General features: G+C 36.4%; 1 protein-coding gene and 1 long non-coding RNA gene across 14 annotated transcripts in view; one reads left to right on the top strand and one right to left on the bottom strand.

Annotated features, from left to right (window-relative positions):
• The window catches only part of TTC29 (tetratricopeptide repeat domain 29), a 239,248-nt gene that overhangs the window by 99,522 nt on the left and 123,308 nt on the right, over positions 1 to 16,418 (top strand). For 10 of the 13 annotated variants that reach the window (NM_001317806.3, NM_031956.4, XM_006714339.3 and 7 more), the window contains one exon: positions 12,446 to 12,537. In NM_001317806.3, the coding sequence (NP_001304735.1) occupies positions 12,446 to 12,537 (92 nt within the window). Of the gene's footprint in view, positions 1 to 297; positions 393 to 12,445; positions 12,538 to 14,548; positions 14,703 to 16,418 lie in introns of those variants that run through there. The other 3 variants (NR_133922.3, XM_047416243.1, XM_011532310.3) reach the window with 2 other exon arrangements.
• On the bottom strand, positions 12,544 to 13,106 carry LOC105377474 (uncharacterized). The gene is made up of 3 exons (XR_939314.2): positions 13,058 to 13,106; positions 12,882 to 12,971; positions 12,544 to 12,786 (listed from the first exon to the last, which is right to left on the bottom strand). It is a non-coding gene; the product is annotated as an uncharacterized LOC105377474 (long non-coding RNA).

Here is a 16,418-nt window from a genome sequence, read left to right as displayed (position 1 = left end):
ACCCCTTGGGTTCGTAATGGGGGAAACTTTTATTTGTCTGAGAATGTGATCAAACAAACCAAATGCACCTTTAGATAGGGGGTTCTTGTGTCAATCTGAAATTTCATGTAAGTCTTCTTCTATGAAGATTGTGCTGATACTTCATATCTCCAGGACTGGCTGTTAACTGAAATTTTTCATACACTTTTCATTTACCATAGGTATAAACTGTCATTTTTTTTTCTCTTATTGAATGCGGTAGAATGCAAAAGTCAATACATACAATGGTTTGTTATAGCCATGTTAATGTTTCTACAGGTACTACTAGTACCTCCCAAGGGCTCTACAATAGTCATTCAACAATATTCAAGGTTAACATAAGACGAGGAGCTAGAGGCACAATGGAGAGCAAAACAGGTATGGATCCTGTCCCCAGGGCACTTACAGTCTAACTAGAAGGAGAAAATAATAAGTAGATATGTTTCACAATGTGGTGAGTGCTAGAATAGCACAAAGAAGTGGTGTGTGTGTGTGTGTGTGTGTGTGATTGTGTGTACAAGTACTGGAAGAGTAGGAGTAAAATGAGAAAGAACAATGCAGGCAGCGGGGCCTGCAATTAACAAGGGCCTGGAGGCAGAGAGAGCTGGGCCCATTCCTTAGTGAAAGGTCTGTACGGCTGGGGTGAGATTCCTAGAGTCCTGCACATCGTAAATCTAGTTGTAGATATTGACATTTCTGCATTGGCAAAGCAAGTGACAATACCTGTTTGGTCAAATTAGACTTGACTGGCACTTTATTTGATTCAGTTTGCCACCACCATCTTTAGTTTCCATAAATAACTGATAACTGATATTATTGGTTATGTTATCATAGGTATAATGAAATTATTTGTCCCACTCACTTTGAATCCTCATAGAAATATAACCAAGTGAAGTGTGAGAATTTATTAATAAAAAAATACACAAGCAACTTACTTTCTCTCATATCTTTTCTGACAAGGATGTCACTAATCATTGTATGTAACCTGTGTCTACTGGCCTATTTCTCTTGCCAGTAGACACAGGCTGAAAGAATCAACCTACATTGTGTCTCACTGATACACATGGAAGGAAAAGGCCTATTTACCGCCTTAACTCTAAGGCAGCTGTTTCATCTCTCAGTGCTTCTCTGTTTTATTCTTGAGGTTCAAGAAAGAGATTCATTCAGATTACCTCAAGTACAAGAGTTGATTGTGAAGATTGCTGTGGCAAGGAGAGAAACCCTAATCCTACGAATTCCCAGGAGAAGCAAACAGTTGGGCCACACACAGACCAAAAGATTCTTGGGAACTGGAAGACCCCTGGAAGACGAGGGGCTGAGTTTTCTTATTTCCCCCTACACAGCAGCAGCAGTCCATCAATTCACTCTGCTGACACGAGTCAGTTGGTCTCTTGCTGTTCCTTTATGTCTGAGTGCCCTCCTACCTCTGCCATTACTAACGACTCAGCTGCTCTGAACTCTCTAAGAGGACATGATGGCACTAAACTAATTGCTTTAATCTTACATTGCACAGAATTTTTGTATCAGGCTGCCTCAGAGATTGCTGGACTGCCAATGAATTGGCTACTCATTCTTCAAGGCTTCCTAGCAAAATATAACCCAAGATCTCCAATGGATTTCCTTAGCAAAAGGTTAAGGGCTGGGGGCTGGGCACAGTGGTTCATGCCTCTAATTCCAGCACTGTGAGAGGCCAAGGCGGGTGGATTGCATGAGCCCAGGAGTTCAAGACCAGCGTAAGCAACATGACAAAACCCCATCTCTAAAATAAAAAATAAAAATAAACAAAAAAAAGAAGGTTAAGAGCTAGGAAATTTTTCTTTCAAGGAGCTGTAAATATAACTCACACTGTGATTGGACTGTACAGGATAAATATTCCACATTTTTTTATTTATAGTACAGTAACGATTGAGAGTTAGAATAAAATCTCTTCATCAATATGTATCTTGTTAAGGTAATACAAAACTATAATGACCAATTTAGGAAATGGCAGTTTTGAGCTGTATGTTCCAATTTACTATTGAGGAAAACTTTTATTTCTAACTGTATATGAAATTTTGTCTCATTACTTTGAGGTTTCAGAGCCATCTGCCTGTTGGATGTTTAAAGAGAGAGTTTTAGATGAAAAAAGATTCTTGGAAATTTTCTGATATATTTATGTTTTTACAGCTTTTGAAAATACAATGTAAACTCTTAGCATGTGAAAGATAATTGGGTATTCTTAACCAGGCTATTACATTTAAGGCTAATCTTGATTTTCATCAAATTATTAAAAACTTCTGACTGTAAAACAAAAATTTGCTATTTTTGTACAGCACTGATTATTACATTTAACTGCTGTTTAATATTAACCAAATAGTATTGTTAATTGAGCTTTCCTTTCTGCCATTTATTCTAATGTAGGGACATTTTAAAAAAGCGTTCCCTAAAACTCTGCAGGACTTATCACATGAGGAGAGAGTATGAAAATAAAATTTCAATCAAATACAATGATTCATCCCTTTGCTTCTTACAGAGAAAGTTTAAAGAGATAAAGTAAATTGATCAGGAATTTTGAAGCCAAAGATAAATTATTGAAAACAATTAGGACATATGTTTGATTATTAAAGATACCAATGTAGAGTTCCAAAATCCAAATCATACTTTTGGAAGGGAGAATTTGAGACCATTTGATTCATCTCCATCATCTAGTAGATTTGTAAACTGAAGCACAAGGTAACCAAGTGACTTGCCCATAGTCACACAATGAGCTCATGGCAGAAGAGAAACTAGTGCTCATGTCTTGCAATACTCAGCCCTTCCCGCCCTTGACCATACAGCCTCCACTTCAGGTGTTGGGCAACGTAAGCAGTCAATGTATGGGAGATACTCTGAATGATGAGTCATGGATTTCAGGGAGAAAGTGTACGTACTCAAATGATCAATATTAATAATTATAAGGCCAGACTATTCCCAGTTTAAGAGTGTAGTTTCAGCGGAATGCAAAAGATGTAACCACTTTTGTGTATTATAATTTACAAAGCGACATCCCTAATTGTCCTCAGTGTCCACTCAAGATAACATATTTGTAGAAAAGAATTAGTGTTTTTATTACATGTCAGATACTTTTCATAAAGTATGTAAGAGCCTTTAAGTGATGTGGGGCCACTGCTATTTGCCTTCATGTGTATTATCTTCCACCAGTGCCTATTTGCTGGCTCCTCTAAAACATCCCTGAATGCTATGGCTGCCCAGTCTGGTCCTCAGCCTGTTACTGCAGTGCTTGTCAGAAATCATTAGCCACTGATTCCTTTGACTAATGTTGCAGTTGATTGTCTGAATCATGTTCAGACACTGTAAATGAGGCAGAAACATCCTCTCTGCTCACCAACTGTGAAACGGCTAAAGGGGGTTAGATTGCCAGAAATCAGAATAAATGTATTTCCAATAAGATTTGACAATGATTTCAAGCTCAAGATGGCAAACTTGATTTTTTATTTCTGTATTTCTCATTGCATAAGTATAAATCTGTATCTTTGCCCTTTTTTCCTCAAAGTAATACACTGCATGGAGAACAGTGCTAAACTTTTGTTATAAAATGACACAATTTGGATTTTGTGTAGGGGATGTATAACACAATATTAGCTATGCTGACTTTTTATGGTGGGGAAGGAAGAAACGGGTAAAAAATGTACCCTGGGCAAAGGACTCATAACTTCTTGTTAACAGAGAAATCTGTTTGATGCTCTTTATGGTTTTATAGACAATTTTTGATCTAGGTGGGTTTATTTAAACTCTTCTGGTTCTCTTAGACTTGTAGACAAAACTGGAAACAAAGCATCCAAATATGGCTAACCTGTAGGGGTTTCATTCTCATTTATTTCAGAGTGTCCTGCATGACTCTCTATAAGTCTGTGGGGTTTGGGGAGGGAAAACAGCCACCTTTCACTATTGGGAGGACTGTCACAAGAAGAGGAATGGGCTTATTTTGCTGTCGCACAAAGCACAACCTTGGCTGGCAGGTGAGAGTTACAGATTTTGCCTGGGCTGAACAAATGTTTTTTCTCAGGTAACTCTCCAGTGATTGAATGGCTAGCCTCACTAGGAAATAATTTCCTATCATGAAAATTGTTCAAGCAAAGGCCAGCTGAGGGTTTCTCAACAGTGACACTATGCACATTTTGAGCTGCATAATGGTTTGCTATGGGGAAGGCTATGGTGTGCGTTGTAGGATGTTTAGCAGCATCCTTGGCCTTGACTCACTAGATACTAGTAGCACCCCCCCAATAATTATAGCAACCTAAAACATATGCAGACATTGCCAAATGCCATCTGGCAGGGGCAAAATAACCCCCATTTGAGAACAACTAGGTTAGATAAGCACTAAGGCAAATTAAGCAGTTGTTTTGTTCAAATCCTTAGACAGTACTTTTACATACCTAATCTTATTGGAACCTTGTAACACCCCTTCAAGGTAGGCTTCATTCATTTCCATTTTGTACCTGAGGAAACAGGCCCAGAGAGATTAAGTCACCTGGCACCATCAGTCAGCTCAGTAGAACACCTTCCAGGCTCAAAAGCCTATGATGTTTGGAGAAAATTTGAACACCCAGAGAAAGATTTCATTATCTCACAAGGCTCCTCCAAGGCCCGGTCTGTGTCTTCAGAGTAGGAGTCCTTACTGCTTCAAATATTGAGTTAACTCAGGAAGAAAGAACAATGGGAAGGGTGGCAAGCAGAGAAAGGAATAGGTACAGAGGAAAAAAAATAAGAAAAAAAATATTCGTGTTCACTGAAGTTTTTGCAAAATTGCAAAACTCCCATCTCAAATAGGTTACATTCTAGAACTTGTTTCATATGATGGCTTCTATGGTGTTTTTTTTGCTTGTTTGTTTTTTTCACACAGAAATAGTGGTAGTTAAGGTCACCAGCCAGAGAGCAGAGGCCCATTTAAATTCATGTCACTGACCTGTGTGATCTGGTCATAGTAGTTTGAGCTGTGCATGCACAGTGCTGTGCCAGAGGGAGAAAGAAAAATACTTCCTCTCCTTTCCCTAGGCACAGGAACAACGCTGAATAAAATCTTGAAAACTTGGAATAACAGAAAACGAGGCAGCCACCTGCACCATCTTGAATGCGGCAAATTTCACCAAACATGTTGAGGTGCTCAGAAAGTAGAAAGACAAAAACTGTGAATTTTTTTAAAGTCCTGCAAAAGACTACTGTTATGTGCATGTAGAATAAAGGGATGAAAATGAATGACCTGCCTTACCTTCTCCACAACAATTAAATACTTTCTTTGAAATCAGAAAGATAAATTGCCATTTGAAAGTTTGTTCTTTAATTTATCAGTTGAAACTGCAATAACTTAGTCCACATTACTAGACAAACATTCTGTGAATGCTTTTTAAAGCACACTTTCTATTGAACATTGCTGCATCTATGTATCCTAGCAAAGCTTTCTCTTCTTTCTCATTGTATCATTTATTCTCATTTCCAGACTTGCTCCAGCTTCCCCAATTCTATTATTCCTTTAAAATACAGATAGAGTTCTTACATGAAGATAGAGTTATTATAGAGTTCTTATATGAAGCTTCTCCTGGTTGTATTCCTTTGTAGTTCTTACAACTATCTGAAATTCATTTATTTATTTATTTCATTACAAATTGTCTTCCCGTTGCCCAAATACAACGTAGGCTGCAATGGGCCAGGGATTTTGTATTATTGGCTGCTGTATCCCTAGCACCTAGAACAAGGCTTTGCCCATAAAAGACACTCAGTATTTATGTAATGGATTAATGTTTTTGGACTAAATTTTTAGCCCTTTATACAGACTTACAGCACTATATAATTTCAGTGTCTGTAAGTCTTATTTCCTTACATAGTAAGGTCTTTAAGAGCAGAAATATAATTTTATATCTAGCAGCCACATCTAATGGAATATACTGGAAGAGTTCTTTGCATAATACATTGGTTCTGAAGGTTGGGCGTTATGAAGAAAGTGATAACAAGGTGGAATGGAAATAGCTGCAGTTCTCTTTACTGGGATCACATCTGCTGCTGCACATTTCCCTCTTCCTTTTTTCATCTCTTCCACGCTTATGTGATAAGGGACATTGTGAAAAAGCTGCAGAGCTTCTAGAAAACACAAAGGTACAGTAGACCAAAAAAAAAAAAAAAGATAAAAACCAGTACCCACTTAAAAGATTAAGAGATAGTATCAAAGGTTAGATTTCAAGACAAGGAAGCTGGCTTTTTATTTTATAACGTTTGTCCCCAAATTTTCCTGCCGCACACTGTCTGAATTATCTTACTGCACTTTATTAAACTGCATAAAATGTAGTTTAGAAGAAATGATGTGGGGCTGACAAACATTTTCTTTTTAAAACTGCAACTTCCTCTGCCAGAGTTAATGACGTTTGAGTCATTCACACCTATGTATAAGTATGAATTAATTCAGTCAACTCCTTTTTTTCTATCACTTAGCTGAGCAAATTGCCAGGGAAATACAAGTGCTCAAGTTAAAGGAGGTGCACCAAAGGGGTAGAGAAGAGATGCCAAGGTATTGCGGAATTTTTCCCAAGGAAGAACTTTTACTCAAGGAAAAGAGAAAAAAAAAAGATTTTCCTTTATCATTTTTCTTTTTTAAGGAGCAAACAAAAAATGAACTAGGAAAGAGTATCATGAGGCATCCTTGTATGATGGAATTTTTCTGTATCTTGATTGCAGTGGTGGCTACATGAATATATTCATGTGATAAAATAGCATAAAACTTACACACACACACACACACACACACACACACACACACACGAGTTCATGTAAAACTGGTGAAATCTGAATAAGGCCAGTGAAATTTAAAAATTTTTATTGCTATATAATAGCTATACATATTTGGGGGTTACCCGTGACATTTGGATTCCTGTATAAAATGTATAATGCTCAAATCAAGGTAATTGAGATATACATCACCTCAAACATTTATCTTTGTGTTGGGAACATTACAAATCTTTTAGCTAGTTTTAGGTATACAATAAATGATTATTAACTATGATTTCCTAGCTATTTTGAAATATATAATTATTATCTATAATATCTCTACTGCACTATCAAATATTAGCGCTTATTTGGTTAGCACACAGTACTTATAAGGCCAGTGGGTATATATCAATGTCATTTCCCTGATTGTGATATTATGCGATCATTATGAAAAAAGTCATCACTGGGATAAAATGGAGTGTAGGGTATATGGGATCACTCTGTGTTATTTCGTACAACTCTGTGTGACTCTACAGTGGTCTTTAAACTTTTTTAAAACAAATGAACTGGAACAGTGTTTTCTTATAAAGGCTGGCTGGACAGAGGGGTCAGGGGACAGTTCCATCTAATTTGGAAAAGGTAGGCCTGAAGTGATAGTTCTCATAGTGATTTAAAATTTCACTTGTTAAAGTGAACATAAGGGCCAAGACTGGTAGAATTTTATGTTTTAATAGTTTCTAAAATAAAGGTATATAAGAGAGGAATTGCAGTGGGGTGAGAAATAGGAAAACAGAGGAAGTTAGAAAGGAGGATGAATACCAAATACAGTTGTTCCTTCAGGCAGGTTCCCAATCCTTCAAATACTGTATTTTCGATCTACATTTGGTTGAAAAAAATTCGCATTAAGTAGACTCATGCAGTTCAGACCTGTGTTGTTCAAGAGTCAACTGCAGTTCATTTTTGTCTGTCCAAGGTACCCTCCTAACTGGTAGTCCTAAGCATAGAAAGGAAAAAAGACAACTGGGTGCTTGAAATTATTAGACCTAATAATGTCTTCCTATGTGTCTCCTTAAAAATGTCAAAGCTCAGGCACAAAATTTATGCTTATAAATTTTAAATTCCTATCTTCTGAAAAAGCAAGGATATTTTTCTACTTTCTCTAAGACAGATAGATATTCTATTTTTTTTTTGACAGTTGACAATCTTTGACTTAAATCTGATATTCCCTCAGGCTATTGCAGTAAAAATAAATTAATAATCCTTAAATTTCATTTTACAACAACACTTCTTCAAAGAATCTGTAGCATATCCCCAGCATTGTTCTTTTGTACACTCTCATTTTTTTCTGATGAGTATTCTAGTAGTTTTGTTTTTAGGTGACCCATAGTAATTATTTTATTTTAAGAACTTTGGATTTTATTTGAAAATGTTTTTACCAAGTACATCTATTTCATTTTGGTAAGAAGATAGTCTGTTTTCTCTGAAGTCATGGAAATTGTTTTTAAAGCTTCATCTTCATTACTCACTGAAACTATTGGAGCAATTGGATAGAGTGGCCATGTAGCACTCAATTCTTATTAGGTGTATGAACTGACTTTGCCAACTTTGGTAACTTTGGTTATCATGTAGTTTGGTGTCCATTGAAACTTACATAGTAACATGCTAAATTAATGTTCTCCTCTGTCTTTTGCCAAAGGTTAAGTTGGTTCCCATGAACTTTAAAAATAGACAAATTCACTTATATTTTATATATTATATATATTTTCAATTCATCAAAATATTTGTACCTGGAGATCCTTTGTTTGCCTATCTCTGATTTGCGATGCTAGATTTTAACCATCCTGATCCTGGCTCTGTTTCCAACATATTATCTGCCACAGGGATAGTCAATCAAGTGCAGTGCACCCCTCAGATTGCCACACTGTATTTTCTTATAATACTTGAAGTATTCTTTGTAAAAGTGGTTCCACTCTTTGTCTAGTGATTCAAGTTGATCAATATTTATTAATTTGTAGGTTATACCTTACCTGCTTTAAGCAGATAAAGTTGCCTACTATAAAACAGTATAAAACATCTGTATCTTTTTAAAAAACTTTTAAGTTCAGCGGTACATGTGCAGGATTGTTATATAGGTAGACTTGTGTCACAGGGCTTTATTTTACAGATTATTTCATCACCTGGGTACTAAACCTAGTACCCAACAGTTATCTTTTCTGGTCTTGTTCCTCCTCCCACCCTCCATTCTCAAGCAGGTCCCCAGTGTCTGTTGTTCCCTTCTTTGTATCCATGAGTTCCCATCATTTAGCACCCACTTATAAGTGAGAACATGCAGTATTTGGTTTCCTGTTTCTGTGCTAGTTTACTAAAGATAATGGCCTCAAGCTGCATCCATGTTGCTGCAAGGGACATGATCTCATTCTTTCTTATGGCTGCATAGTATTCTATGGTGTATATGTACCACATTTTCTTTATCCAGTGAGCATTGATGTGCATTTAGGTTGATTCCATGTCTTGGCTATTGTGAATAGTGCTGCAGTGAACATTTGCATGCATGTGTCTTTATGGTAGAATAATTTTTATTCCTCTGGGTATATACCTAGTAATGGGATTGCTGGGTTGAATGGTAGTTCTGTTTCTAGCCCTTTGAGGAATCACCACACTGTTTTCCACTATGGTTGAACTAATTTACACTCCCACCAACAGTGTATAAGCATTCTCTTTTCTCCACAACCTTTGCCAGCATATGTTGTTTTTTGACTTTGATAATAGCCATCCCAACTCATAAGAGATGGTATCTCATTGTGGTTCTGATTTGCATTTCTCTAATGATCACTGATATTGAGCTTTTTTCCATATGCATGTTGGCAACATGCATGTCATCTTTTCAAGTGTCTGTTCACCTCCTTTGCCCACTTTTTAATAAGGTTGAGTTTTTCTTGTAAATTAAAACATCTGTATCTTCTACAGAATTTGTAGTATCATGTTATTTTTCCACTCATTTTAATGCTTTTTTATTTTAATGAAGACCCTCCTACTCTCTTTAGTTTGAACTACACAATTCACCAATGCACTGGGTTTTGTCTAGTAATCTCTTCATGATTTCACCTATATGCACTCCTCTCTCCCACTGCAGCTCATGTTCCTGAGGATCAGAGGGTGTGTCTTTGATTTAGAGCAGCTCCTTTGCAAGACCCTCATGTGAATTTCATGTGATTGACATTTTCCCTACTTGGTCAATAATGAACTATACTCGTCCTACTGCCTATATATTTCCTGTTTTTCTGTAAATTGTTTAAGGAAATACCCACACTCTCTCAAACCACAAAAAAGATCAGTTGTCCTTACTTTGAGGAGGGACACTCCTACCAGGAGCTGTTCACTGGCAGCTAAATAACAGGTTCCCAAATAATTCTTGTCCTAATATCTACATAGCACTTTATATTATCTCACAGCATTACAACCATTCTCAGAAGTAGATTTTCTTTTTTACTATGAGGAAATTCAACTTAAAGAGATTTCCTGGCCCAAATGTGTTGGGTATGGAAGGCTAGGACATGAATCCAAGTATTCTTATTCTAAGGTTAGTGTTCATTTCAGCAGGCTGCATCTGTCTCCAATGGGAAGCTACTATGGAATCAAGTGCAAGGCCAAAGCTGTCTTTTGCCCCTCTGCTCCCAGGAATTATGGCACAGTGGTGTGGGATAGGAGCCATCAACACTGAAGTATCTACCCATAATTTCTTGGGAACCTACCCTTCTATCCATGGGTTCAAGAGTCACACCTCACAGATAAAACTGGGCACCTCTGATTGTTGCCATGTGCTTCAGAGCCCATGGAGATCAGGGTCATGAGAGAGTGGTGCAATATAAGCACAGCTTAAGTCCTGGGGAAACCTGTCTTCAGTCATTGTTAATTCACACAGTTGTATCAGTCCAAAGTCTGGAGCACTGAACTGTAAATGCCTTGAGGGTTACAGGCATATTCTCATCTACTTAAGATCCTACGGTCTAACATAGTGCCTGAGACACAATAGTGGTATTTGCTGAAAAAAAACAAATGAACTATTTTGGCAGAAAATATAATTATATTCAATCTTTACTTTAAACTTCTAGAATGTCATGTAAATTATATGGACCTTAAAAAGACACCAGAAAATCTTTTCCTAAATATTTTGATATTAGGATTCCAAAAGATCTCTTATAAATTCACAAAATTCAGAGGTACTGCCCTTTAACTCAGAAAGGTCTACGTCAATTCATATCAGATTAGATCTAAGTGCTACTTGTTATGTAAGATGGTGAAAAGAATATTCTCAGGTTTACACAAGGGTTATTAAGAGACTTAAAAATGTTGGTGTGCTGCACCCATTAACTCATCATTTAACATTAGGTAAAGTATAAGAATAAAAAAAAGAGACTTAAAAATGAAAATCAAAGGTAATAATAATGTATATTTCAAAATTGCTAAAAGAATACATTTTTAACATTCTCACCACATTAACAAATGGTAATTTGGTGAGGTGATAGATATGTTTTTATTTATTAGTTAAGAATAAATACATTTTTAAAGTACAAAATACCCCAAAATTTTTAACTTTGTGGTTTTTAGCAGGAATTAAAACCCTGGGTCAGTATATAGCCATAAGTTTTAACAACAGTATTATGTCAAGCAGTCACTTGCAAACCATATGAAACTCAAATTTTTTGAAGTGTCGCAATAGCCTCATTGAAATTATTTCCCAAATATTGACACTAAGGAAGCAAATAAAATATCAACCCTGCCGCTCAGACTTAAACCTTCTAGGCTGCCTGATTCAGGCAGTAGCAGACAAGGTGTTTTTATGTCGTCCCTCACACTGACTCTGTCTTCCAAATGCCGTCAAATGACTTTTGCTAATTCTTTCTTAGAAAATGTGCAAAAAGGATTTCCATAGAGGTCTTTGGAGATTTCCTGTGTCCTCATGTGTGTAATAGGTTGGGTCAAGTAATAATGAAGGAAAAAGGAAGAATGGGGATTCTGTTTTATGTATTTTTCTCCTTCGGGCCATTGAAAGAGGGAAAAGGGAAAATTATACCATACAGATGATGTCAGTGTTAAATTAAATTAAGATCACATGTTTGGCTGTGGCAGCTGTAATCTTTTGATTATTGAAGAGATTGTTGGTAATGAAATACATTTGTAAGAAATATTTTTAGTGTAAACTGTATACATGCACAAACGGTGAGCTATGCATCTAATAAAATGATAGATTTAGAAATTGCCTGGCACCTAAATTCATGCTTTTCAAATAGCTATTTTTAGAAAGAAAAGTGATATTTAAGCTATCATAGTAGAATATTATAATCTGCCTTATATTACGTTAGATAATAATCCCGTATTTTAAAATAATGTAAAAACCATTAAATTATTTATTCACACCTAAGTTATATAAATTGGAAGATTTGGGCAATTATGCAAGAAAAGAATTATTTTTTCCAAAAGTAAGGCGTCACTGTCATGGCTTAAAGAGATTGCCACAAAACAAGTTATACTATAGATAAAAATAAACCAAACCAACATGAATTTTTAATCAACAAAATTTTTTATAGAGACATTAAAACCAACTATTAATTTTATTTTTTTCTGTTATGAAATGAAACATCAGCGTATCTGGCTGTGCTATATGTTCAATATGTATTTCTCTTCCTGATAGGTCCTTGACACTTACTGTAAAATCTCCACAGACCTGGATGATGATCTCAGTCTGGGGAGAGGCTATGAAGCCATAGCCAAGGTCCTGCAGAGGTAAGTTAGCACATTCTCATCTTGCTGTCACTGTGAATTCACTCAACTGTGAAAGGCTTAAATTGTTTGAGGTCTGTCGCTTTCCATTACTGCCTGCTTAAATTTTAAGCAGTGCCCTTCTTAAGTGACCCTTTCATCATAAGTTATTTTAAACCAGTTTGGTAGTTTAAAATATGCATCTAAACTCTTCTTTGTCTGTGCCTCCTTCGTATTATTTTCTTTTTGGTTTTCTGTAAGTTTAGTGATGACCTTGAATAAAAGAGAAAAAAATCGGGTCACATCTCACAAGTTAAGAAAGCAGACAGCACAGAAATATGTAGTACGCTTCAGTGGCTGTGGCTCACCATAACCTTTCCAGATCTCTTCTTTGAGGAAAGTTTCCATTTATGCTTCAGTCATGCTTTTCCATTAAGACATCTCTCCTTTGAGCACATCTGGATAAACAATTGGGGTTAAAACCAATATTCCCAATATTTCATTTAAAACAGAAAATTTTAGATATATGAACAACTTCTGATACCTGTTTTTCCATGGAAGATATATCATTCACCCTTCAGTCATTGTCTTGCAATCATTGTTTACTCCATTTGATTGTTATAGAGTAGCATTATGACTTAAGAAATAATAACAATAAGAAAAGTTATCAGTTAAGGCCTTGGTTTTTACTATGTTATCTTATATCCAAGATAGAGCTTTTTAATAATAGTAATGTTGGTTGCAGTAACTGTAGTAATATAGATTGTATTAAGTTCTAATTTCTTCCCATTTGTACTTCAGTTGTAAACACATACAAGGAGGTGTTTTAAAAGTAAAATTGTTATTTGAAAGGCATTTGAAACATTAAAAAGTACCTAGTGAGGTAAAATTGGAATCATTATATAAGTACCATTACTAATATAATAATCATAGTTTAAAATATCAGTACCAATGAAATTAAAGATATCCTACAAAATAAATAAAACGCAGTCATCACTGGATAAATGGTTTAGGAACACAGACATATTTAGAAGGAGAGGCCAGGCACGGTGGCTCACGCCTGTAATCCCAGCACTTTGAGAGGCCGAGGTGAGCAGATCACCTGAGGTCAGGAGTTTGAGACCAGCCTGGCCAACATGGTGAAGCCCCCTCTCTACTAAAAATACCACACACACACACACACACACAAAATTAGTTGGCCATGGAGGAGGGCTCCTGTAATCCCAGCTACTCGGGAGGCTGAGGCAGGAGAATCACTTGAACCTGGGAGGTGGCGGTTGCAGTGAGCCAAGACTGCACTCCAGCCAGGGCATCAAGAGCGAAACTGTCTCAAAAAATAAGGAAAAGAAGGAGAGTATGGGTGTTTACCCAAGAAAGACAGAGCCAGTCATGGATAAGGCAAGCAGCCTGTGAGTGTTGTGATCCTTCTAAATAAACATTGGTAACTAGTCCATGGAAGACCAACTCAGCTATTTTTCAAAACTTTTACTTCCAAACAACAACCCAGAAGACACAGGTGGTTGAATACAAAGAAGAGACTGATAAGAATTCAATTTATGTCTGTTTGGAACTAATCAACTCTGTTGATTGTACATTTTGATTATGAAATTACTTGACTCTGCTGTTATCACTGCCCAAAAATCAGCAAAAAAAGATTGGATTCTTTGCTTTGCTTTGTAGTAGCATGTAAATGTGTCCCCTAACATGTTTATAAAATAATTTTTACAAAATGATATTTCCATTGTGTTCCAGCATAACTGGAGAGATAAGCTGGGTGTGGTGGTGGGTGTCTGTAATCTCAGTTACTTGGGAGGCTGAGATGGAAAGATCCCTGGAGCCCAGGAGTTTGATTCCAACCTGGGCAACATAGCAAGACCTCATCGCAAAAATAAATAAATTAATTAATAAAGAGATAAAACTTCAAGGGGAAAATTTATTTATAAACATCTACTAAGCGCTTACAATTTCACTGGACAAATATTGAAATGCCCCTTTGGTTACTGATGGTCTTTATAATTATTTTTGAAACTTCCAGAGACATGAGTCTGTCTTCAAATAATTCTCACCTCTTAGCCTTGCTTCTTATCTGGAATATTTTAGCCTCCTTCCCAGGATTTGAATTCCTGGTCGATTCAGTCAAGGCTAAGTGAAGAGTTGAACAATTATCTGGTGAATTTTGGCACTACCAGGTAATCTGATGTTTTAATTTGCCTATTTAAGTATTATTTGGAGCTTGGGAGTGGGACGGGATACAGCTATATTTGATATATCATGAAGTTGAATTTGTTTTGGGTAGGACTGGGGACCATTCTGTTCCAACACTCTCAGCAGCCTGCCAATGTGCCTTAGGGCAAACATTTAAAGGAGCAAGAAGATTTATCTCCATTTTACTTTTATGCCAAGTAAACTAATTCTTTTTATAGGAATTCCTGGCCAGGCACAATGGCTCACACTTGTTATCCCAGCACTTTGGGAGGCCAAAGTGGGAGGATCACTTGAGTGCAAGAGTTTGAGACCAGCCTGGGCCACATAGTGAGAACCTATCTATTTTTTTTAATTAATTAAAAAAAGAATTCCCATCTACTAAAGTACAATAAAGCTACCAGTGATTTCATGGTAGACATGGATTCTTAATTTTATAATGTTATACAATGCCACAATGCACAAGACAGTGCAGGGGATGCTTATTCTGAGGTCATAGTGAAAAAGTGTCCCAAGGCTACAACCAGCTTTCCAATCCAAATCTGTGATTTTGCAGCATTGTTGTTGGTTATAGAGGAGTACTCAGGGGAGTGCAAGCCTCCACATATTATTTCAATATCTGTGCAAAATAATTCAAAAAGTGATCTACTAACAGGCAGATTTTCCAAACCTAAAATTCTATAAGATAGACAACAGCATCCTGAATAGCGCAAAGCATTATTAAATCAAGTCCACTCATAGTATAAATGCTTTGATGTAAATTCTGTGATCATTTTTAGAACATTTTGCTTGAAAGGCTTTATATCCTTCAGTAAACATGCATGTGCACACATACATACATGCACATACCCACACATATAAACACAAACACACACATGTACCAGCCCTTTCATAGCCCAAAATTGTCCTTCTCAGGTTAGTAGCAACGTGCAAGAAACAGACTACAGCCCAAATAGAGGAAATTATGGTGGTGGCAGCTGAGAAATAAATCAAGTTGCATATGAAGCTTAGCATCACCTCTAAATCTCTTTTTCCTAACCTGTGCAATTGCACAAGTTTCACTAATGGTAGACCTATCTCTATAAATATATTTTATATCTTTAAAGGAAATGGAAGAGGATAGCCATGTCTAGGATAAGTGTGTGTCTAAGGCCATCAGCTGAGCGTGCATGAATGGTGAATAAGATCTAAGGCTGGAAGCTTCTAAAATGGTTATAAGAATTTATACTAAGCCCTCAATTGAAAAACACACCACAATCCCTCAAGACTGAGGATTTGGTAATACAGAGTTGCCTGCCTGGTGATATTATTAATAGATACAGACTTGGTGTTAGAGTTATTGGGGAAGGTGTTAATAAGTGAACAAGTTTTGTTATTTTTGCCATTGATCTGAATAATATTAATTGGTTAAGACTTTAAGCAGCATAGCAGAAAATAAGCATTTATAATATCATTCTTCCCCTACTTGGAATAATAGTGAAGAAAAGATTTGATGCTCTAAAATACTAACAATTGCTTTGTGAAACTACAATAAAAGCTAGAATTATGGTCCATAAAACAAAGAGAAAGCCAGTTGAGAAATTACAAGTAAATATTATTATCATACAGACAGACAGTTTGAGTAAATACAGAGAGGGAAAATCCCTATATTTTCCTTATGGCGTTTCTCTTTTTGCCTCATTTACTGAAGTGTAGTTCATTTA

This window comes from Homo sapiens, chromosome 4 (genome assembly GCF_000001405.40).
Source record: "Homo sapiens chromosome 4, GRCh38.p14 Primary Assembly".
NCBI lineage: Eukaryota > Metazoa > Chordata > Mammalia > Primates > Hominidae > Homo > Homo sapiens.
This window is presented reverse-complemented; position numbering and strand designations above follow the sequence as displayed.